The sequence below is a fragment of the Homo sapiens genome, chromosome 8 (genome assembly GCF_000001405.40).
Source record: "Homo sapiens chromosome 8, GRCh38.p14 Primary Assembly".
NCBI classification, from domain to species: domain Eukaryota; kingdom Metazoa; phylum Chordata; class Mammalia; order Primates; family Hominidae; genus Homo; species Homo sapiens.
In genome coordinates this window covers 86578042-86603798 of record NC_000008.11, presented here as the reverse complement: position 1 = coordinate 86603798, position 25757 = coordinate 86578042, and the positions used below count along the sequence as shown (strand labels likewise).

Below are 25757 nucleotides of genomic sequence, written 5' to 3'. Positions count from 1 at the left end.
GGAGGGTTCATTGTTACCAGATTGTTGGAAAACTTGAAAGCCTTGCTAACAAGGGGGTCTTGCGTAGGCTAGTGATGTGATCATAGCTGTGGGACCAAATTTCCTGAGTTTAAACTCCAGTTTCACCACTACTGGCTTTTTTCCTCTGTTACTTGTCCCCACTGTTCCTCAGTTTCCTCACCTTAATAATTAGGATAATAATAGAACATATCTTAAAGTGTTGGTAAATGAGTTAATTCACTAAAAGCACTTAGAACACTGCCTGGCATCTATTAACAACTCAATAAATATCAATTATTTTTACCATTGCTTCTTATTGGCCAGGAAAAGTTTATCCTAGAACAAGAAACTCCCCAAGAGGAAAAATATAGACAGCAAATTTAAGCATTTTGTGAGCTAAACACTTCTATATGCATTATCACATTTATTCATTATTCAACCAAAAAATATTTATGGAGTGCCTGGTACGTGCTAGATTGTCAGGTATTGCTCTTAACTCTAGGAATAAACTATATAAAAATATTAGACAAGATATGGCCCCTAACAGAGTTTATAGTCCAGTCAGGGAAAACTGATAATAAATAGTTAATTAGCTAGACAAGATGAATTCACACTGTAATAACTACTATGAAGGAAAAAGTGGTTAGAAAGTAACAGGACACAACTTAGATGCAGTGGTCAGGAATGACCTCTCTAGGGAGATAATATTTGACCTGAGATTTGAAAGAGAAAAGGATCAGCCATTCAGAATTGGGTGAAGAGCCTGATTACCAAAGGGCTAGAGGTAAAGCAAGTTTGTCTGGTCAAGGGGTAGAAAGGTCAATATGGCTGGAGTACAGTGAATAAGAACACTGGGGAGATGAAGCCAAATAGGTGAGCAAGACCCAGATAACATGGTCTTTTACGCCATGATAGGAATTTATGTCTTTTTCTAAATATGAATGAATGCCAGTAGAGGGTTTTAGGCAAAAGAATGACACACTCTGAATTATTATTTTAAAAGACGACTTCAACAGCTATGTGGAAAAGATACAGTAGAGGAGCAAGAATGAATAGAGTCCAGTTAGAAGTCAACTGTGGTGGCTCAAGTGAAAGATGATGGTGTCTGGAACTGAGATACTGGCTCATATGATGAATAGAAGAGTACCCTGTCAGGCAGTTATTAATATATTCATTTCATAACTGAGAAAATTGCTATCCCAAGATGCCAAGTACTATATCTTTCCCAGGACACCATTGCTAATGAATTATAGGGACAACATTCAAACCTGGGTCTCCACGGATCGGGGTCCAGTGATCTTTATACCACGTCACAGAAGAAATTTCCAGTCTCTAATTTCCTAGCTGCTAAGAAGTTATCTTTGTGTTCTGGAAATATGGATAATTTTAGATGACTTCATATTAGCATTGTTAGGGTTTCTTTGGAATGTTGAAACATGTTATTTCTCTGTTGTTAATGTGGCTTCTCTTTTTAATTTTTTTCTCCTTGTTTAACGACTGATTATTTGTTAAGGTGATCCTCTGAGGATCTTGCTCTTGGGCAGTGGTGGAAACACTTCTCAGAACATACGAGACCTGAGTTCTTTGCCTGTTTTCTATCATTTCCTTCCTGGGAGTCCTTGCAAAAGTGATTTAATATTTTGTGACTTAATAATCACTGTAATCTTCAAGGTCATAAAACATGCAACAGTTTAATCTGAAACACTGCAGAAATTAATTAGCTGACCTTTCCCAAGGGTTGAGTACTCCCTGAAGAATAAGCTTTATAAATACAAGTATGTTAATTGCTGATATTATCATCACAGGAGGAAATACCCTAAGAATTGAATCCAGGTGTTTCTGAGTTGCAACTGAAAGTAATCCTAGATTCCTGACAGCAGCTTCTCAAATAAATCTCCTATTACCCATTTGGTTTCTAAGGCCAAATTGAAACCAGTAGAACAGACAAACTTTAAACTTGCTCAGTAGTTTGGTTGATTCAAGTAAAAGGGAGCTTTTTGCCTTGATTCTCTTTTTGGCTGTGGTTATGGGGAAACAGGATGCATCTGCCTCTTTCCAGATACCCACAGGCTTCACAGGCCCACAGCTGTCATATGCCGCTGAAGCTCTAGTCATTTATTCCAGAGCTGGAGGTATGCCTGCCAAACATCCAGATACTGGAAAGATCTAGTAATAGTGTTTACTACTCAAAAATGCTGTGACCTTTGTTAAAATGAGCTAAATCCAGCACTATCATGTAGCCTTTAAAAGAGTTCTTTTTCCTCAGGAAAAAAAAAAATAAAGAAAAACATTAAGGGCTTTCAAGGACATTATATATTAATCCAAAAGAGCAAAACCCTGACTAAAATATAGATTAATAGCCTGTCATTGAGAAAACCCAGACCACATTTCCAATTATCATCTGAAGAGTGCAGATACCCCATTTCTAAAAGAGAGACCCAGGGTCTGCTGAGAGATGGCCTTGTGGTGGTTCCAGGTCCATCATTTTCCTTACACGTACATTTAGTCCCAAGTCTTATTCACTGAATGTATTTAACCACTTCCTGTCTGCATTCTGTTTCTGTTAAAATGTCATTTTTCTTAAAACACATCTGAGTTTTTATTCTTGTGTTGCCATTATGATTTCAATAGGATTTTCTATTGGTTTCATCTCTCTTCGGAATATCCTCCCCTGGAAATTTTTCATTCCTCCTTCAAATGCCACCTTTTTGAAGCCATCTTTAACCCCTAAAACAACTAGTTACTCTTTATTCTATGCTTCCATAGCATTTCATTCATGCATTTATTGCAGTAATTACTACTGATTTATAATTAATTTGTTCAGACAGGTCTCTCCAACAGACTGAGCTACTAAAATGTAAGAACTAGAGGCTGGGCGTGGTGGCTCACGCCTGTAATCCCAACACGTTGGGAGGCTGAGGCGGGTAGATCACAAGGCCTGGAGATCAAGACCGTCCCAGCTAACACTGTGAAACCCCATCTCTACTAAAAAAAAAAAAAAAAAAAAAAAAAAAAAAAAAAATTAGCCGAGCGTGGTGGTGGGCACCTGTAGTCCCAGCTACTCGGGAGGCTGAGGCAGGAGAATAGCATGAACCCAGGAGGCAGAGCTTGCAGTGAGCCGAGATCGCGCCACTGCGCTCCAGCCTGGGTGACAGGGCGAGACTCTGTCACAAAAAAAAAAAAAGAAAAAAAAAAGGAACTAGAATTTATCCATCTTCATATCACCAGCAGCTACGTAAACACTATATACTAAGTGGTGATTTTTACTTGTATCATGCCTCCATTCAAAAATAATTTGCAACAGCTCTTCAGCAATTTTTAATTAATTAAGTACTTAATTGTGATTTGATAGAAACAAAAGAAAATTATATTTGGGTCCCCTTATGGCATAGTGTGAAAGTGACTCAAAGAAGGCCATGTATTCCTTCTTTGCCAGGCACAGTGCCAGTCATGAGGGTACAAAGGAGAACAAGAAACAATCACTGTCCTCCAGGGCCTTAGAAGAGACTTCAATACCAGGTGATTAAATGTATGAATTGTGTCCCAGGAAGAGAGTGTGTACAGGATGCTTTGGGGACAAAGTTTTCACAAGGACCAGTGCATCCTTTGGATCTGGCAATTACTAGAGGTTATTTGGGAACCAAAAGCTGAACGTTTATCGGGCAAAATCCACCCCCGATATTTCATGTAGGTTCTTTTCTATTTTCCCTAAGTGTTGGCTGGTCTGAGAAATAAAGGAACAGAGTACAAGAGAGAGAAATTTTAAAGTTGGGTGTCCAGGGGAGACATCACATGTCACCAGGTTCCGTGATGTCCCACAAGCCACAAAACCAGCAAGTTTTTATTAGTCATTTTCAAAAGGGGAGGGAGTGTATGAACAGGGTGTGGGTCACAGAGATCACATGCTTCACAAGGTAATAGAATATCACAAGCCAAATGGAGGCAGGGCAAGATCACAGGACCACAGGACTGGGGTGAAATTAAAATTGCTAATGAAGTTTCAGGCACGCATGGTCATTGATAACATCTTATCAGGAGACAGGGTTTGAGAGCAGACAACCGGTCTGACCAAAATTTATTAGGTGGGAATTTTCTCGTCCTAATAAGCCTGGGAGTGCTATAGGAGACTGGGGCTTATTTCAACCCTACAGCTGCGACCGTAAAAGACAGCCGCCCCCAAGGTGGCCATTTTAAAGGCCTACCCTCAGGGACACATTCTCTTTCTCAGGGATGTTCCTTGCTGAGAAAAAGAACTCATCAATATTTCTCCCATTTGCTTTTGAAAGAAGAGAAATATGGCTCTGTTCCACCCGGCCCACTGGCAGTCAGAGTTTAAGGTTATCTCTCTTGTTCCCTGAACATTGCTGTTATCCTGTTCTTTTTTCAAGGTGTCCAGATTTCATATTGTTCAAACACACAAGCTCTACAACAATTTGTGCAGTTAACGCAATCATCCCAGGGTCCTGAGGCAACATACATCCTCCTCAGTTTACGAAGATGATGAGATTAAGAGATTAAAGTAAAGACAAGCATAGGAAATCACAAGGGTATTGATTGGGGAAGTGATAAGTGTCCATGAAATCTTCACAATTTATTTTCAGAGACTGCAGTAGAGACAGGCATAAGAAATTATAAAAGTATTAATTTGGGGAACTAATAAATGTCCATGAAATCTTCACAATCCACGTTCTTCTGCCATGGCTTCAGCCGGTCCCTCCGTTTGGCGTCCCTGACTTCCTGCAACAAACCTTCACTGGTCCTCAAATGATGTGTGCACACAGGTCAGTCCTATAAACCCCTACTGAGGGGTATGTAAAGGATAATTGACGTGATGCCTGTAGTGGGTTGAATGGTGTCTCCCACAAAGATAAGTCCACATCCTAATCCTAGGAACTTGTGTATGTGACCTAACTTGAAAAAAAGGGTCAGGGTCTTTGCAGATGTAATTAAGTTAAGGATCTCAAGATGAGATCATCCTGAATTATCTTGAAGGGCCCCAAGTCCAATGACAAAGAGGGTTCTTTTTCCTAAGGACACTTTTTATAAGTGTCTTTATAAAAGACATAAGAGGAGAAGACCATGTGAAGACTGAGGGTAGAAACTGAAGTATTGCAGCCATAGCCAAGAAATGCCTGGCAGCACTAGAAGCTGGAAGAGGCAAGAAAAGATTTTTCACTGGAGTCTTTAGAGGAAACACAGCCCTGCTGATATTTTGATTTTGGACTTCTGGCCTCCAGAACTGTGAGATAATAAATTTTTGTGGTTGTAGGTCAGTTGTTTTGTGATAATTTGTTATAGCAGCCCTAGGAAACTAATACAATACCAAATTATTTAAATTGTTCACTTTCAAAATTTTACTGGGGATAAACAAAACATGCTTGACACTCTACTTCACCCTACATGGACACTCCGCCTTCAACACCTGTCAATCCTACCACCAAAGAAAGTCACAAATCATTTGTATCTTATGTTCTCCACTGCCACTACTTCAGTTCATCCATCTCTCACTGGACAACTGCAGTGGCTTACTTCAAGTCACTCAAATCCAATAACCATATCCTCCACAATCAGTCTCCACTCTGCAGCCAGAGGGATCTTTTGGAAACACAGATCTGATCATATCACTGCCCTCCCACTTAAAACCATTTAATGTTTTCATGCCATTTTTAGGGATAAGAACAAAGTGATTTTCCTTACCTATGAGATCCTGTAGAGTCTAGCCCCTGCCTACCTCTCTACTTCAGGTTGCACCTGACTCGCCTTGCTCTCTTTATTTTATTTTATTTTAATTTTATTTTATTTTATTTTATTTTATTTATTTGAGATGAAGTCTCACTCTGTCGCCCAGGCTGGAGTTCAGTGGCACCATCTCGGCTGACTGCAACCTCCACTTCCCATGTTCAAGTGATTCTCCAACCTCAGTCTCCCAAGTAACTGGGATTACAGGTTTCGCCATCGTGCGCAGCTAATTTTTGTATTTTTGTAGAGACGGGGTTTCACCATGTTGGCCAGGCTAGTCTTGAACTCCTGACCTCAGGTGATCCACCTGCCTCGGCCTCCCAGAGTGCTGGATTACAGGTACAAGCCACTGCGCCTAACCATCCTTGCTCTCTTTAATCCAGACACCCATTGTCTTCCCATTCCTTGAATGCACCACACTCTATCCAGTCACAGGGAGTTTTTTGCACATTCTATTACCTCCGCCTGGATGCTTTCCCCACCCTTTTACCAAGATCTCAGCTTCTTTCAGGCCTTCCTGGATTCCCCACTATAGGGACCTCCGAGGTCTCCCTGCTGTACACTTTCATCCAATGATGTTCCTTTCTTTTGGAGCACTTATCTTTGTAACTATACATGCATTAGTGCATTTATTTCTTCAATGTTTTTCTTCCTTCCTAAATTGCAAGCACCAGAACTACCACCTATGGCTGTGCCAAATGTTCTCTGCACCAGAATGTCCAAAGAGGAACCGGGAGGGCAGGAACCCAGTTCTCACTCCACTTCTGAGCCATGAGCCCTGGCTGTTGTGCTCCCTCTCATGCACAGTTACCTTTCACTCTGTGAAAGGAGGCATTCTTCTAGCCAAGCACAGGACTGCACATGCTTAGAAAAGCCACATTGTTTTTTATTATACTTTACGTTCTGGGGTACATGTGCACAACATGCAGGTTTGTTACATAGGTATACATGTGCCATGTTGGTTTGCTGCACCCATCAACTCATTTACATTAGGTATTTCTCCTAATGCTATCCCTCCCCCAGACCCCCACCCCCGACAGGCCCCAGTGTATGATGTTCCCCTCCCTGTCTCCATGTGTTCTCGTTGTTCAACTCCCACTTATGAGTGAGAACATGTGGTGTTTGGTTTTCTTTCCTTGTGATAGTTTGCTGAGAATGATGGTTTCCAGCTTCATCCATGTCTCTGCAAAGGACATGAACTCATCCTTTTTTATGGCTGCATAGTATTCCATGGTGCATATGTGCCACATTTTCTTTTTCCAGTCTATTATTGATGGACATTTGGTTTGATTCCAAGTCTTTGCTATTGTGAACAGAGCAGCGATAAATATACGTGTGCATGAAAAGCCCCATTTTTATTGTTTGCATGAAGACACTTTACACAGGCACCAAGGGGTCCTGCTAGACACCATGTGTGGTTTGTTCTATACTCTATCCCCAGCCCTTAGGGCAGTGGCTGGTCCACATAAGTGCCTAATAAATAGTTATTGAATAAATAAGTGAATGTAATTATCTTTCTATCTTTGTGAATGTACAAATGCACATTCATTTTTGTCGTGAATATGCATATTCAGCCTTGTGCCCTTTTTGTCAGTTTTCATTATAAGAATAACACTGCTATATTTATCTTTGTAAAATTACTTTGTTTTATTTTATTTATTTGAGGTTTAATTCCCAAAAATCGGAATAAGTAGGCCAAAAGGTAGAAGCATTTCTATAACTCTTGTAATATATGGGCAGATTATTTTCCAGAAAAAAATTGAACCAATTTGCATTACAAATCACAATGTATAGCTATTTTTCTTCAGTATTACTGATATTACTTTATTATCCCCATTGCCATTGCATTTTAATAGGTTATTTTAATTTGCAGTTCTCTAAATAGTGCCTGGAAATAATAGTTCCTCCATAAATATTTGCTAAATGAATTGATTTCCTATGGGCCCATTTATTTTCATAAACGTGATCATTTACCTTCTGCATTTCTTTCATTGTTCACCATCCTTTTTTCATCACAGATAACAAGTTATTGAGTAGAATTCAGGCATTGATATATTCTTGTATGTTTTAGATATCTGGTTGCCATTCAAAACATTTAAATGCTGTCTTTTCCCCTATTACATTAGTCAAATCACCTATTTGAGAATTTCTTTCTGATATTTACTTTATATCAATGTGAAATGGCGAAATATTTTGACAAATCATCTTAAAACTCCTTTTAACCTTTAAATCATTATTGTCTATTTCTTCTGAATACTCAGTTTTTAAAATTGGAGTACCAGAGGAGACTTTTAGGTCTTTGGACTATTTTAATTCCATATTCTTACTCTTCATCAGAATAACTCAGTTATTCCTTTTTTCCTCTTTCCTAAAAAGTAGAAATAGTAGATACAATAGGAGATTAAAAGTATGAGCAGAGATAAGACTCGATTAATACTGAAAGAGAAAACTTCATTTTCATTTTTTTCATATCTCAAACCTGTAAGCACTACCTGTGTTAAGAGTACATATTTACATTTTCACTACATCCTTTTGAATATAGTCTCTTTGATTGTATAGCACCTTTTTGCTTAGCATGAAAAGTATACCTCATCTAAGTCCCACAATATCCCACTGAACAAATATACAATCAGTGTCATTGCTTAAATATTCATTCAAATATCCTCAGGATTCCTCCTAAAGTAACTTTATCCAGTGCTAAATCAAGGCTTTTTGCCACCATTTGGAAGAGCAGAGAGGAAGTAAAGATTCTGAGAGTCATACCTTGACATGTCTTATCACACCAGCCTGTTTGGGTTCCTCCCTTATTTTTCCTAATATCCAGGGGCAAATCTGTATCATTAAAACAACAGCAGTAACTTCATTGGCATCACTAGAGTTATGGTTAAAGAAAAGACCTCTTGACTTGAAGTCAGGTATTGTCTTAGATTTTAATTTCAGAGATGAAATTCTTAAATATTTGTTCTTGAACAATTCACTTAACTGATTCTGGACCTCAGTTCCTTGTCTGTAAGTATAGGTTAAGAACCTACCTCACCAGCTGGGTGCGGTGGCTCACGCCTGTAATCCCAGCACTTTGGGAGGCTCAGGTGGCGGGATCATGAGGTCAGGAAACCGAGACCATCCTGGCCAACATGGTGAAACCCTGTCTCTACTTAAAAATATATGTATATATATACAAAAATTAGCTGGGCGTGGTGGCACGTGCCGGTAATCCCAGCTACTCGGGAGGCTGAGGCAGGAGAATCGCTTAAACCAGGGAGTCGGAGGTTGCAGTGAGCCGAGATTGTGCCACCGCACTCCAGCCTGGTGACAGAGCGAGACTCCTTCTCAAAACAAACAAACAAACAAACAAACAAACAAAAAAGCTGTCTAAAGCCAGGGGCAAGCGGGAGGCTGGGCCTGCAGACATCCCTCAGCAGGTGTCCCAGTCAGGGACACACTCGCTGCCCTGCGCTTTGCATCCCTCTCAGGGTGAAGGTGACAGTGGACCCAGACCCTTCCCTGGTCTACCGACCTGAAGTGGACCAAGAGGCTGCCAAAGACAAGGCTGGCTTCCAGAGCTACGTGTCGGGTCCCCTCCTGGACCACGTCTTTACCACCGACAAGCTCATGAACATGCACCACACAGTGGATTTCGTCAGGAGCAAGCACGCCTGGTTTGGGGACTTTTCCTACAAGAAAATGAAGGTCATGGAGGCCGTGGACCTGCTGCATGGGCTGGTGGACGAATCAGACTCAGGTGTAGACTTCTCCCACTCCTTCCAAGCCTTCCAGATGGCGGAGGGCATCCGAAAGCTCACCCAGGCAAGGACTGGTTCCAGCTTGTTGGGCTTCTATGACCTAGGGAAGGTCTTGGCCCTGTTGGGGGAGCCCCAGTGGGTGATCGTTGGAGACACATTCCCCGTTGGATGCTGTCCCCAGACCTCCGTGGTTTTGTAAGTCCACTTTTCAGGACAATCCCGACCTCCAGGATCCTGGATACAGCACAAAACTGGGCATGTATTAGCTTACTGTGGGCTTGGCAGGGTCCTCATGTCCTAGGGCCATAAGGAGTACTTGTACCAGGTGATGATGTTCAACAAGTTCTCGCTCCCACTGGAGGCTTCCTACAGGATCCGATTCCACTCCTTCTGCCCCTGGCACACAGGCGGTGACTACCAGCAGTGGTGCAGCAAGCAGGACCTGGCTATGCTGCCCGGGGTCCAGGAGTTCAATTTGACCAACTTCCCTGACCTGACAGATGTGGACAAGCTGCGGCCCTACTACCAGGGGCTCATTGATAAGTACTGCCCTGGCATCCTGAGCTGGTGACGCTTCTTCCACCCCCACCACTGCTGGACGACAGGCCTGGCCCTCAGCGTGCCTAGTGAGGTCTGGCTGTGGGCAGACAGACACCATTAGGGTCCACCTCAGTGGGGAACCCCACTCGCCCCTTATAGCCACCACCTCTCATGGCCATTTGTACCTAGTGGCAATAAAGACCTCGAAGGAGAGAGAAAACAAAACAAAACAAAACACCTAGCTCACCAAAGTGATATGGTCATTACATAGGAAAATAAAGGGATTTACTTTTAAAAAAAACTTTAAAACTATAAACTTTGTACAAATATTTCACATAGTTACCTGGTTTTCACTCCAAAGAAACATTTAGTTAGGCTAGTGTATTAGTATAGGCTTCTTTGATACAGTATTTTCCAGCCAAAGTACCATAGTTAAGTATTCTTCTGGGAAACTCGAAGGAAGATAAATAAACAGAGCATGGAATAAAGAGTCCACATTATCCTTTTTCTCCTCTTTCCTTCCTTAGAAGTTATACCCAGATTCTTCATCGCTCATCCACTTCTCTAAGGCCAATTCAGTTCTGAAATCAAGACCTGCTAAGGGGAAAAGGGACTAAGCATTTTATATCTGTAATATCTAAACTCTCTAATTTTGTTAAAAATCTGTATGTGCAGACATTCCTCAAAATGTTTTACAGAAAAAAAATCTAGGCTAACATGTGTTTGCCATTCAGTACTTTTATGAATATCAAAGTATCTGCAAAGATCAAAAATCCCAGGCAGAGGTGGCCTTAGAACATCCTCTGATATTTGCCTAGCCATAAAAGTTTTGCTAGAATTTATTTTTAGTCAAGTTTTAAAGTTGCAAGGAATAAAGTGTTTCCTAATAATGTTGACAAAGATGAAAGGATATCTCAGAAAAAGTCTACACAGGTTATCTAACCTCATGTTTCCGAAATAAAACCCAGTTAGAAATTTCCTTAATGAGAACAAATATTTGGAGTTTTAATCCCTTACTCAGCATTGAATATGATGTTCTTTCCATTGATAGCATGTAGAGTTATATATATATATGGAAATAATTCTACATGAGAAAATGTATTTAGACCAGAACCTTCTTTATTTTAGGAAATATTTTCATTTCTTACAATTATTAAAGCATTAATCATTCTAAATTGCATCTGCTTAAGAAGGCTGCCTGATTGGTTTGCATCCATGTGCCACAACTTATGAGCTATGTATCTCCAGGCAAGTTACTCAACTGAGACTTCATTTCTTCATCAGTCAAAATGGAGAAACACTAATACATGACCACCTCACAAGATTGAAAATTATTATGTGTATTAAAACATAAAAAAGAACTTGGGAAAATATCTCGCTCATAGTAAGCACTCAATAATATTATCTATTGGGGAGGAGCCAAGATGGCCGAATAGGAACAGTTCCAGTCTACAGCTCCCAGCCTGAGCGACGCAGAAGACGGGTGATTTCTGCATTTCCATCTGAGGTACCGGGTTCATCTCACTAGGGAGTGCCAGACAGTGGGCACAGGTCAGTGGGTGCGCGCACCGTGCGTGAGCCAAAGCAGGGCGAGGCATTGCCTCACTCGGGAAGCGCAAGGGGTTAGGGAGTTCCCTTTCCTAATCAAAGAAAGGGGTGACGGACGGCACCTGGAAAATCGGGTCACTCCCACCCGAATACTGCGCTTTTCCGACGGGCTTAAAAAACAGCACACCACGAGATTATATCCTGCACCTGGCTCAGAGGGTCCTACGCCCACGGAGTCTCGCTGATTGCTAGCACAGCAGTCTGAGATCAAACTGCAAGGTGGCAGCGAGGCTGGGGGAGGGGCGCCCGCCATTGCCCAGGCTTGCTTAGGTAAACAAAGCAGCCCAGAAGCTCGAACTGGGTGGAGCCCACCACAGCTCAAGGAGGCCTGCCTGCCTCTGTAGGCTCCACCTCTGGGGGCAGGGCACAGACAAACAAAAAGACAGCAGTAACCTCTGCAGACTTAAATGTCCCTGTCTGACAGCTTTGAAGAGAGCAGTGGTTCTCCCAGTACGCAGCTGGAGATTTGAGAACAGGCAGACTGCCTCCTCAAGTGGGTCCCTCACCCCTGACCCCTGAGCAGCCTAACTGGGAGGCACCCTCCAGCAGGGGCACACTGACACCTCACACGGCAGGGTACTCCAACAGACCTGCAGCTGAGGGTCCTGTCTGTTAGAAGGAAAACTAACAAACAGAAAGGACATCCACACCAAAAACCCATCTGTACATCACCATCATCAAAGACCAAAAGTAGATAAAACCACAAAGATGGGGAAAAAACAGAACAGAAAAACTGGAAACTCTAAAAATCAGAGTGCCTCTCCTCCTCCAAAGGAATGCAGCTCATCACCAGCAATGGAACAAAGCTGGACGGAGAATGACTTTGACGAGCTGAGAGAAGAAGGCTTCAGACGATCAAATTACTCTGAGCTACGGGAGGACATTCAAACCAAAGGCAAAGAAGTTGAAAACTTTGAAAAAAATTTAGAAGAATGTATAACTAGAATAACCAATACAGAAAAGTGCTTAAAGGAGCTGATGGAGCTGAAAACCAAGGCTCGAGAACTACGTGAAGAATGCAGAAGCCTCAGGAGCCGATGTGATCAACTGGAAGAAAGGGTATCAGCAATGGAAGATGAAATGAATGAAATGAAGCAAGAAGGAAAGTTTAGAGAAAAAAGAATAAAAAGAAACAAGCAAAGCCTTGAAGAAATATGGGACTATGTGAAAAGACCAAATCTACGTCTGATTGGTGTACCTGAAAGTGATGGGGAGAATGGAACCAAGTTGGAAAACACTCTGCAGGATATTATCCAGGAGAATTTCCCCAATCTAGCAAGGCAGGCCAACATTCAGATTCAGGAAATACAGAGAACACCACAAAGATACTCCTCGAGAAGAGCAACTCCAAGACACATAATTGTCAGATTCACCAAAGGTGAAATGAAGGAGAAAATGTTAAGGGCAGCCAGAGAGAAAGGTCGGGTTACCCTCAAAGGGAAGCCCATCAGACTAACAGCGGATCTCTCAGCAGAAACCCTACAAGCCAGAAGAGAGTGGGGGCCAATATTCAACATTCTTAAAGAAAAGAATTTTCAACCAAGAATTTCATATCCAGCCAAACTAAGCTTCACAAGTGAAGGAGAAATAAAATACTTTACAGACAAGCAAATGCTGAGAGATTTTGTCACCACCAGGCCTGCCCTAAAAGAGCTCCTGAAGGAAGCGCTAAACATGGAAAGGAAGAACTGGTACCAGCCGCTGCAAAATCATGCCATAATGTAAAGACCATCGAGACTAGGAAGAAACTGCATCAACTAATGAGCAAAATAACCAGCTAACATCATAATGACAGGATCAAATTCACACATAACACTATTAACTTTAAATGTAAATGGACTAAATCCTCCAATTAAAAGACACAGACTGGCAAATTGGATAAAGAGTCAAGACCCATCAGTGTGCTGTATTCAGGAAACCCATCTCACATGCAGAGACACACATAGGCTCAAAATAAAGGGATGGAGGAAGATCTACCAAGCAAATGGAAAACAAAAAAAGGCAGGGGTTGCAATCCTAGTCTCTGATAAAACAGACTTGAAACCAAAAAAGATCAAAAGAGACAAAGAAGGCCATTACATAATGGTAAAGGGATCAATTCAACAAGAAGAGCTAACTATCCTAAATATATATGCACCCAATACAGGAGCACCCAGATTCATAAAGCAAGTCCTGAGTGACCTACAAAGAGACTTAGACTCCCACACAATAATAATGGGAGACTTTAACACCCCACTGTCAACATTAGACAGATCAACGAGACAGAAAGTCAACAGGGATACCCAGGAATTGAACTCAGCTCTGCACCAAGCAGACCCAATAGACATCTACAGAACTCTCCACCCCAAATCAACAGAATATACATTTTTTTCAGCACCACACCACACCTATTCCAAAATTGACCACATACTTGGAAGTAAAGCTCTCCTCAGCAAATGTAAAAGAACAGACATTATAACAAACTATCTCTCAGACCACAGTTCAATGAAACTAGAACTCAGGACTAAGAATCTCACTCAAAACCGCTCAACTACATGGAAACTGAACAACCTGCTCCTGAATGACTACTGGGTACATAACGAAATGAAGGCAGAAATAAAGATGTTCTTTGAAACCAACGAGAACAAAGACGCAACATACCAGAATCTCTGGGACTCATTCAAAGCAGTGTGTAGAGGGAAATTTATAGCACTAAATGCCCGCAAGAGAAAGCAGGAAAGATCCAAAATTGACACCCTAACATCACAATTAAAAGAACTAGAGAAGCAAGAGCAAACACATTCAAAAGCTAGCAGAAGGCGAGAAATAACTAAAATCAGAGCAGAACTGAAGGAAATAGAGACACAAAAAACCCTTCAAAAAATTAATGAATCCAGGATCTGGTTTTTTGAAAGGATCAACAAAATTGATAGACCGCTAGCAAGACTAATAAAGAAAAAAAGAGAGAAGAATCAAATAGACACAATAAAAAATGATAAAGGGGATATCACCACCGATCCCACAGAAATACAAACTACCATCAGAGAATACTACAAACACCTCTACGCAAATAAACTAGAAAATCTAGAAGAAATGGATAAATTCCTTGACACACACACTCTCCCAAGACTAAACCAGGAAGAAGTTGAATCTCTGAATAGACCAATAACAGGATCTGAAATTGTGGCAATATTCAATAGCTTAACAACCAAAAAGAGTCCAGGACCAGATGGATTCACAGCCGAATTCTACCAGAGGTACAAGGAGGAACTGGTACCATTCCTTCTGAAACTATTCCAATCAATAGAAAAAGAGGGAATCCTCTCTAACTCATTTTATGAGGCCAGCATCATTCTGATACCAAAGCCGGGCAGAGACACAAACAAAAAAGAGAATTTTAGACCAATATCCTTGATGAACATTGATGCAAAAATCCTCAATAAAATACTGGCAAACCGAATCCAGCAGCACATCAAAAAGCTTATCCACCATGATCAAGTGGGCTTCATCCCTGGGATGCAAGGCTGGTTCAATATATGCAAATCAATAAATGTAATCCAGCATATAAACAGAGCCAAAGACAAAAACCGCATGATTATCTCAATAGATGCAGAAAAGGCCTTTGACAAAATTCAACAACCTTCATGCTAAAAACTCTCAATAAATTAGGTATTGATGGGACATATTTCAAAATAATAAGAGCTATCTATGACAAACCCACAGCCAATATCATACTGAATGGGCAAAAACTGGAAGCATTCCCTTTGAAAACTGGCACAAGACAGGGATGCCCTCTCTCACCACTCCTATTCAACATAGTGTTGGAAGTTCTGGCCAGGGCAATCAGGCAGGAGAAGGAAATAAAGGGTATTCAATTAGGAAAAGAGGAAGTCAAATTGTCCCTGTTTGCAGATGACATGATTGTATATCTAGAAAACCCCATTGTCTCAGCCCAAAATCTCCTTAAGCTGATAAGCAACTTCAGCAAAGTCTCAGTATACAAAATCAATGTGCAAAAATCACAAGCATTCCTATACACCAACAACAGACAAACAGAGAGCCAAATCATGAGTGAACTCCCATTCACAATTGCTTCAAAGAGAATAAAATACCTAGGAATCCAACTTACAAGGGATGTGAAGGACCTCTTCAAGGAGAACTACAAACCGCTGCTCAAGGAAATAAAAGAGGATACAAACAAATGGAAGAACATTCCATGCTCATGGGTAGGAAGAATCAATATCGTGAAAATGGCCATACTGCCCAAGGTAATTTACAGATTCAATGCAATCCCCATCAAGCTACCAATGCGTTTCATCACAGAATTGGAAAATACTACTTTAAAGTTCATATGGAACCAAAAAAGAGCCCGCATCGCCAAGTCAATCCTAAGCCAAAAGAACAAAGCTGGAGGCATCACACTACCTGACTTCAAACTATACTACAAGGCTACAGTAACCAAAACAGCATGGTACTGGTACCAAAACAGAGATATAGATCAATGGAACAGAACAGAGCCCTCAGAAATAACGCCGCATATCTACAACTATCTGATCTTTGACAAACATGAGAAAAACAAGCAATGGGGAAAGGATTCCCTATTTAATAAATGGTGCTGGGAAAACTGGCTAGCCATATGTAGAAAGCTGAAACTGGATCCCTTCCTTACACCTTATATAAAAATCAATTCAATATGGATTAAAGACTTAAACGTTAGACCTAAAACCATCAAAACCCTAGAAGAAAACCTAGGCATTACCATTCAGGACATAGGCATGGGCAAGGACTTCAGGTCTAAAACACCAAAAGCAATGGCAACAAAAGACAAAATTGACAAATGGGATCTAATTAAACTAAAGAGCTTCTGCACGGCAAAAGAAACTACCATCAGAGTCAACAGGCAACCTACAAAATGGGAGAAAATTTTTGCAACCTACTCATCTGACAAAGGGCTAATATCCAGAATCTACAATGAACTCAAACAAATTTACAAGAAAAAAACAAACAACCCCATCAAAAAGTGGGCAAAGGACATGAACAGACACTTCTCAAAAGAAGACATTTATGCAGCCAAAAAACACATGAAAAAATGCTCACCATCACTGGCCATCAGAGAAATGCAAATCAAAACCACAATGAGATACCATCTCACACCAGTTAGAATGGCAATCATTAAAAAGTCAGAAAACAACAGGTGCTGGAGAGGATGTGGAGAAATAGGAACACTTTTACACTGTTGGTGGGACTGTAAACTAGTTCAACCATTGTGGAAGTCAGTGTGGCAATTCCTCAGGGATCTAGAACTAGAAATACCATTTGACCCAGCCATCCCATTACTGGGTATATACCCAAAGGACTATAAATCATGCTGCTATAAAGACACATGCACACGTATGTTTATTGCGGCACTATTCACAATAGCAAAGACTTGGAACCAACCCAAATGTCCAACAATGATAGACTGGATTAAGAAAATATGGCACATATACACCATGGAATACTATGCAGCCATAAAAAATGATGAATTCATGTCCTTTGTAGGGACATGGATGAAATTGGAAATAATCATTCTCAGTAAACTATCGCAAGAACAAAAAACCAAACACCGCATATTCTCACTCATAGGTGGGAATTGAACAATGAGATCACATGGACACAGGAAGGGGAACATCACACTCTGGGGACTGTTGTGTGGTGGGGGGAGGGGGGAGGGATAGCATTGGGAGATATACGTAATGCTAGATGTCGAGTTAGTGGGTGCAGCACACCAGCATGGCACATGTATACATATGTAACTAACCTGCACAATGTGCACATGTACTCTAAAACTTAAAGTATAATTAAAAAAAAATTTAAAAAAAAATATTATCTATTAATGTTACTATTACAATATTCTTAGTAGTAATAATATTTGCTAATTGGCTATCTGCATACACACTTACCCCATGCCTAGATTACAAACAGCTTGAGGGCAGGTGTTAATCATCTTTATAGCCCCAGAAGTTGGCAGAGTATCTAGCCCATTGTAGAGTATGCTATTTCTATGTACTCCTAATTTATCTTTTTCCTTTTCTTTTCCATTTATACAGTGAATTCTTTATCTTCCCTTGCATGATTGACCTTCAAAGCACAATCATCTGTACAATCTTGGATGCATCCAAAAAAGTACTTATCAAAGCCTCTCTGAGAAAGACAAATGTTTAAAACAGATTATTTGTTTCTCTGAATATTCTAAATGTATACCATTGATCATGTCTGAGCAACAAAGAGAGAGCTGGGTATCTGAAATGCATTGTACTGACCTATCTCCTTCCATCCATAAACTTACTCTTACTGAACTTTACTTGAAAGTGATTCATAGCCTTTACTGGGGGCTCTATTACAAATGCTCCTAGCAAGCTTATTGTTGTGTCTATCGCAAGAATATGAAGTTTTCTACCACTTTGCAGAATGGCCCCTTTACTAAGCCCTTCAGGAGATATTTCTGCCTGTCTTTAAGCCAACTCTGGATCCATTTTTATGGTACAGAAGGCTTACACCTAAATTTGAAGCCCCACTGTGCCAAAGTGTTCATTTTTTTATGAATTCCATTTTATGTCCCCATTCTTGTTTTTGTTTTGCTCCTACATTCAATTTATGCTCTTTTGTATTCTACTTTTCCTTGTGAGTTCTTTCTGGATACAGTAGCTCTACTAAAAAGAGCTGTGCAGGTTGTACACTGCACAACTCCAGAGGGCTCCAATCACATTACAGTTTGTATGCAATGTGTAATCTACATGTGGCAGCCCTGGACAAAGCTTGGAATGGATGACTGACCAGGGACTATCTTAATATTCTAGCTCTGTCTGAAAAAATATATAAATATATATATATATACATACACACAAATGTATATGTATATAAATGTCTGTTGCATATGCTATTTATGTATGTATGTGAAAATGTATGTGTGTATGTGTGTGTATACTTGTTCCTCACATTTACTGAGTTTTGCATATACAAGTTATCTTACACAGTCCCTGAATACACCATTTCTCCATAACATTCTCACACCTGCTTTTGTTCATTCACCCAACTTTGGCACACTAGTACTCAACTTTGGCACACTAGTACTATTTCTTCTTAAAGATAATCAGATACCTATAGTAGGTACTAAATATGGCCTTGTTTCCTACAGGAGACATTAGTAATCTGTTCAGAAACACAGTAGATGGTAGGATTATCTGGTTCCAAAGTATGTATTCTTTTCACAAAACCATACCATGCTTTAATAATTCTCCTTTTTACCCACTTCACTGTACTGAATACATGGTAGGCACTTAATAAATACTTACATGATTAGAGTGGAAATCAAAAAAGTCTTTATGTTATTGTCTAAGGTCATAGCAAATAGAGGTGGCTCTAGGATTAGAACCATTTCTTTGTTTCCTGGTCCATTGCTCTGCTCACTCTATTTTTACCTAGGGAAACAATAGCAACCTCAACTCTTTGTACTCCAGCATGGGCTCTTTCAGAAACTCTATGTGGGGCTGGGAATATTTAGGCTATTTAATGAGTGAAACTTTCCATGGGTGGAATGCTGGAGAAGCATTTTGTGGACAAGATGAAAAAAAAAAAAGATGCTATTTTAAACATTGCTGAAAGAGTTTGGGCAAAATCCATCTGGCAGACAGACTATTTCTTCCATTTAAAAACTCATCAAGCACTCCAAACGTGTAACCTGTAGGCAAGTTTAATTAAAACTTGAGAAATCTCAAAATAACCTGACATTTAAATATGTTATTTCCGTTCTATTCTCATAGTCTAACATACATATACAGATATTCTCAGGTTCAAATTAACCTCCCCAATCCCATCCAGCCTTGCATAACTACAGGATTACCCTGTGTCCATGACAACAGGAATGTGAATGAAACAGACTCATCCAATCATTGTCCTTCAAATATTAACGTCAATTTCATAGAAAGGGAAGAAGGTAGATAGAAGAAAGCTGAGTAGATGAATGAGTGAAGATATGGTTGTGACAACAGAGGACAGACAGAATGATACGTAGATACATAGATAGATGGGGTAAAATTTATTTCCCTTGTATTCTCTGACAAAGGTGGAGCTTGTCTTAAGAGTACCTTAGGAAAAGACTAAAGTTAGTGGTTTTCCACAAAGGAAAAAATTTGAAATGTGAAATCATTGAGAACATATTTAAAGATTCCAAATATATACTTTCTGCCTTAGAGGAGGAATTCCTTTTTTTTTTTTTTTTTTTTTTTTGAGACAAGGTCTCACTCTGTCACCCAGTCTGGAGTGTATTGGTGTGACCATGGCTCTTGCTGCAGCCTCAACCTCCCAGGGTCAAGTGATCCTTCTACCTCAGCCTCCCAAGTAGCTGGGACTACAGGTGTGTGCCACGATGCCCAGCTAACTTTTGTATTTTTTGTAGAGATGGGATTTTGCCATGTTGCCCAGTCTGGTCTCGAACTCCTGGGCTCCAGCAATCTGCCTGCCTCAACCTCCCAAAGTGCTGAGATTACATGCGTGAGTCACCTTGCCAGGTCTAAGTCAATTCTTAAGTGGCCTGGAGAGTCCTGGACCCTGTCATTAATGCTAGGTGCAGGTAAGTGGCCAAGTTTGAAGCCATGAGTGGCCTTACACCAGTTTCCTCCCACTTTTTTCCTTCCTTCTCTGGCTTTGGGCATTTTATATGATTCCATTTTCTTTTTCTCCCTTAGCATAATAATTATACTTATTTTTTAAAGTTTAATGGTTACTCTAAAGTTTTCAATATGCATTTTGAACTAATCTGAACCTACCATCATATAACACTATGCCACTTCACATGTGGTGCCTTACAACAGAATGTTTCCAATTCTTCCCTTTCAGCCCTTATGACATTGCTGTCTTTCATTTCACTTATCCATAGGTTATAATTACCAAACACATTACCACTTTATTAAACAGTTGTCTTTTATAACAATTAAGAATGCGAAAAAATTGTCGAGCATGGTGGCTCATGCCTGTAATCCCAGCACTTTGGGAGGCCAAGGTGGGCAGATCACCTGAGGTCAAGAGTTCGAGACCAGCCTGTCCAACATGGTGAAACCCCTCTCTACTAAAAATACAAAAATTAGCCAGGCATGGTGGTGGACACCTGTAATCCCAGCTACAGGAAGCAGAGGTTGCAGTAAGCCAAGATTGTACCATTGCACTCCAGCCTGGGTGACAACAGCAAAACTCTGTCTCAAAAAAAAAACAAAAAGGAATGACAAAATATTTTACTTTCATTTATGCCTTTTTAAATGTCCTTCCTTTCTTTGTGTAGACCTGAGTTTCTGATCTATATCATTTTCCTTCTCCCTGAAGAACTCTAAATGTTTTTTGCAGGGCAAGGCCACTGGCAATTGATTCCCTCTGTTTTTGTTTTTCTGACAATGACTTTGTTTCTTCTTTACTTTTGAAGGGTCATTTCCCTAAATATAGAATTCTAGTTGGTAGTTTTTTCTTGCAACACTTTAAATACTGTACTCCACTGTCTTTCTTGTGTGGCTTCTAATTTAAAAATCTGCTACAACTCTTATCCTTGTTTCTCTCTATCTTAGGTACTTCCCCCCTCTGGATTCTTTCAAGGTTTTGTCTTTGGTTTTCTGCAGTTGGAATATGATATGCCCAGAAGTTGGGGGTTTTTCATTTGTTTTGTTTCTTTTGGCATTTATCTTGCTTAATGTTCTCCTATCTTCCTGGATCTATGGTTTTGTATCTGACATTAATTTTGAAAAGTTCTAGGCCATTTTTTTTTTTTTTTGAGATAGGGTCTCCCTCTGTTGCCCAGGCTGGAGTGCAGTGGTGCAATCTTGGCTCACCGCAACCTCCACCCTCTGAGCTCAAGCGATTCTCCCTCCTCAGCCTCACAAGTAGCTGGTACCACAGGGCATGCCACTATGCCCGGCTAAATTTTTATATTTTTAGTGGAGATGGGGTTTGACCATGTTGCCCAGGCTGGTCTTGAACTCTGAGCTCAAGTGATCCACCCATCTCAGCCTTCCAAAGTGCTGGGATTACATATTAATCATAGTTTTAAAATATTTCCTAATAACTCCAATATCTGTGTCATATTTCGTCTATTTCTGCTGCTTATTTCTTTGGACTGTTTTTTCTTCCCTTTTAGAATTCCTTATAATTTTTTTGTTTTTTGTGGTTCAAAGCTAAAAATTATGTAACAAATAATATGGACTGAGGTAAACAGGCCTCTAGTGTGACATTTTATACTAATTTGGCTAGGACTCGGGCTGTGTTTAACATTTGGTATAGCTGTTGGTGCCAGAGGCTTCAAATTCCTTCTAGTTCCCTGTCTTTGTCTCCACTGTTGACTGGGCTTACAGAGGCTTCTCAGAGAGGGTTTGCATCTTGCTGCTGTTTCAGCTGTAATTCGTTAGTATTATATAGGAGACTTGGTGGGGGGGTAAGGTATGGAGAAGGGGAAACAATTTATAATTCTGTGATAAAGTTTCAGTTTTTTGTATTTCCCAATGCTGTGACATTCACAGGAGTTTCTTAGCTTTCCATCTCCCTTAGATAAGACAGGAAGTCTTAAAGGGGCTGCATTGGGAAAAATGTTCTTCCCTCAGGTAGCACAAAGCTCTGGTAAAGTATTTTTCTCTAAATAGTAGGCCTGCGGTATGGAGAACAAATATGCTCTGGGTATATTTCACAATGATTAATCTTCCCCTATGCCTGCCAGAGCCGAGAGGGGATCTTCCTTGGCTCTTCACCCTAAGAACCTGATGAGGTTCCTGGTGGTAAATCCCACAAAAGTGTGAGTGACTTTATAACCATGGCCCCCAAGAGTTTCTCACTCTCATGCTAGTCCACATTCAGCCTCCAACAATTTATTAAAATGAGCATTTAAGCATTCTTACCAGTTATGACTCCAGGGGCTTCTGCTGCAGTAAGCAGATATGGCTGTAGTTTTATGGATTCACCTCTCTCTCCAGATTTGGGGGCGGTAGTTTGCCCTGTGACTTCAGTTCTCTGAAGGATCTAAGAAAAGTCGTTAATTTTTCAATTGTGCAGCTTTTTCTTGTTGTAAGGACAGGAGTAATGATTTCCAGGCTCTTAACCTGTCAGAGCTAAAACCCTATATAAGTTTTTTAACAATTAACAGCCAACTGGAATCCTCCCTTTTCTGCAACAACAGAAGTTGTTCATACTGTATAACATAAATCTTCAGGCACAGGGCCCATGCAGCTTCTTATATCTCATTGCTTCCAAAGGTCAGAGTGTTTTCTCTGTCTTCTCCACCTGTAGAAACTGCTTTTGTTAATGTGATCCTTCTTTCTCAGTTTCTAACAGATTAACTCCAAGGGGTTCAATCTGTTGTGTTATCCTCTCAATGCAGATCCTATGGTGTCTTTTTTAAACATTTGAAATGTGGTTTTTCTTGTTCTGTTTTTACAAACCAATCCTTCCTTCTCAGATCACCGGTAACGACAGACTTTTTATTCATTTATCTTATTCCTTTCTGTGTTTATTCCCCCACTCTTTTTTGCTTATTTCTCAAATGCAAAATGCTCTTTTATATCCCTCCAAGACATAAAGCCCACAATTCCCTGGCATTCCAGGTGGGGAGATGTATGTGAATGACTATATTATAGAGCAGCTTATGACACTGAGGAACAAGTTGATTTTGGAGTATAGTAGGAGATGAGATTGGATTCACCTGAGGTGACCAGGGCATCATGAAGTGCTGGCTTTCACATTTGATGTTGAGAGTTGTATCAGCCAGAGCCCAGGTGGGAAACAGACACACTCAAGTGAGGCAATTGAGTAAACTTTAATAAAGAGATTACTGACAGAAGTGAGGAAAAGTCTAAGAGTACCCAACTGACATGGTTTGGCTTTGTGTCCCCACCCAAATCTTTTCTCAAATTGTAATCCCCATGTTTTGAGGGAAGGACCTGATGGGAGGTGACTGGATCATGAGGGCAGTTCCCCCCGCCACCCCCCCCGTGCTATTCTCGTGATAATGAGTGAGTTCCCAGGAGAGCTGATGGTTTTAAAGTGTGGCACTTCCTTGCTCTCTGTCTTTCCTGCTGCCATATAAGATGTGCCTTGCTTCCCAATTGCCTTCCACCATGACCGTATGTTTCCTGAGCCCTCGCCAGTGATGCAGAATTGAGTTAATTAAGCATCCTTTGTTTAGAAATTACCCAGTCTCAGGTAGTATCTTTATAGCAAGGTGAAAATGGACTACTACACCAACAAAAGGTGGCAATGCATCTCAAATTTAGCAACAGCAAAGGAACTGTTACTACAGTGAGGCCTGAATGGGAAAAGAAGAGGGTATGTTTACCAGAACTCATCAAGAGTGATGGGAATTGCACTTCTAGAAGACATCCATGTGTCAGGAGCTGTAGATTTTGGTAGAGAACTGCAGCCACTGCTAACCTAAGGCTTGGCAGGAAAATAACAGGGGAGATAAATGCTCTGATCCCACTCTCTTCCTGCTTTCTGATTTCCTATTAGTCTTTTCCAATGGCTGAGCCCAAGTGAAGTCAGAGGGCAAGCCTACAGAGGTCAGCTTCCTGGGAAACAAAGGAGCATGGGGAGAGGTGAAAAGTGGATCTGAAGGAGCAAATGAGGGATACCCAGTCCAAAAGGATTCTGCATTTCTGGAATCTGGGATGAAGGATCTGACAGGATACTGACAGCCACAAGTCCTTGATTTGTGGGACTTAGAGGTGAGAGTTAGAGAAAAAATATATTGAAAACTGAGCCATTTCTATTCCCACATCTTGACACTCTCTGCACAATCACCTGGACCCTCACCTCTAGGGAATGATTTCTGAAGCAGTATAAATACTTATAATAGTTGCTATTTTTTTAAAGAGATTTCAGTGGAGGAAAACTGAAACTGGTGGCAAAGACTCATTTTTCTCTCTTACAGCCTTCTAGCAGCAGGAGGAGGAAACCGTCGAACTGCCAATGTGGTGGCCCACGGGTTTGCCAATCTTTTAACTCTAGACAAAAAGACCCTCCAAGAAATTCTAGTGCATTATCCAGATTCTGAAAGGATCCTCATGAAGAAAGCCAGGTACAACCTTTAAAACACCATTAGAGATGGATGGAGTTGGTTTTACTTTGTAAACTCTGAGATAGGGAGAACCGTATTATGATTGTGATAAACTTGATCACAGTGAGATATGCTTAATGAACAACTATTAATGTAGGTACCCATTGAAACTACACAGGTTAGGATAAATTGCAGTTTTTTTAGTAGATTTTGCCAGAACTCTCACAGAGTTACCTAAAACAGCTTTTCTCTCTTACCCACAGAGTGCTTTTAAAGCAGAAGGCTAAGACCGCAGAAGCAACCCCTCCAAGAAAAGATCTTGCCCTCCTCTTCCCACCGAAAGAAGAGACACCCAAACTGTTTAAAACTCTCCTAGGAGGCACAGGAAAAGCAAGTCTTGCAAGACTACTCAAATTGAAGCGAGAGCAAGCAGCTCAGGTAATAAGGTGGAGTGAATGGACGGCTGTCATGGAGAAGGCCCCAGACTAAGTATATACACACAAACGCCCACTCTAATTCCATTTCAGACACTGGGATGATTTGGACTAATCTAATACTAATACTTCCTGCTTTATATATAGCACATTATTATTTAAACTGCTGAATTCCCACATATCATCACATTTAACCCTCACAGGATGTTTATAGATGGCTTTAATATGCATGTATTTATAAACAGAGTATACCCTCATTATTCATAGATTATTTGCAGATTCTATATTGGTGAATCTACTTACTATAATTTATTAGTAACTTAAAATCAATACTCATGGTGCTTTTGTGGTCATTTGTGGACAACAGCACGTGCAGGGTGGCAAAAAATTTAAGTTGCTTGATGCATACATTTTCAGCTGAGTTTGAAAAAAGAGGCACTCTCCTTTCTTGTTTCAGCTCTGATACTATAAACGAATGACCCTTGGCCGGGTGCGGTGGCTCACACCTGTAATCCCAGCACTTTGGGAGACCAAGGCGGGCGGATCACGAGGGCAGGAGATCGAGACCATTCTGACTAACACGGTGAAACCCTGTCTCTACTGAAAACACAAAAAATTAGCCGGGCATGGTGGCACACACCTGTAGTCCCA

General features: G+C 40.6%; 1 protein-coding gene and 1 pseudogene across 2 annotated transcripts in view, besides 1 other annotated feature; both read left to right on the top strand.

Moving 5' to 3' along the window:
• Positions 1-25757, top strand: part of CNGB3 (cyclic nucleotide gated channel subunit beta 3) — a 169456-nt gene that overhangs the window by 139836 nt on the left and 3863 nt on the right. For both annotated transcript variants that reach the window (NM_019098.5, XM_011517138.3), the window contains 2 exons: positions 24547-24693; positions 24936-25110. In NM_019098.5, the coding sequence (NP_061971.3) occupies positions 24547-24693; positions 24936-25110 (322 nt within the window). The remainder of the gene's footprint in view (positions 1-24546; positions 24694-24935; positions 25111-25757) is intronic.
• On the top strand, positions 9203-10233 carry MIOXP1 (myo-inositol oxygenase pseudogene 1; annotated as a pseudogene).
• Positions 11177-11735: an enhancer, noted in NCBI's record as "H3K27ac-H3K4me1 hESC enhancer chr8:87604292-87604850 (GRCh37/hg19 assembly coordinates)". NCBI's record gives its function as "activates a minimal SCP1, AML or CMV promoter by ChIP-STARR-seq in primed H9 embryonic stem cells {active_cell/tissue: H9 hESC(primed)}" and the evidence as "EXISTENCE:reporter gene assay evidence [ECO:0000049][PMID:30033119]".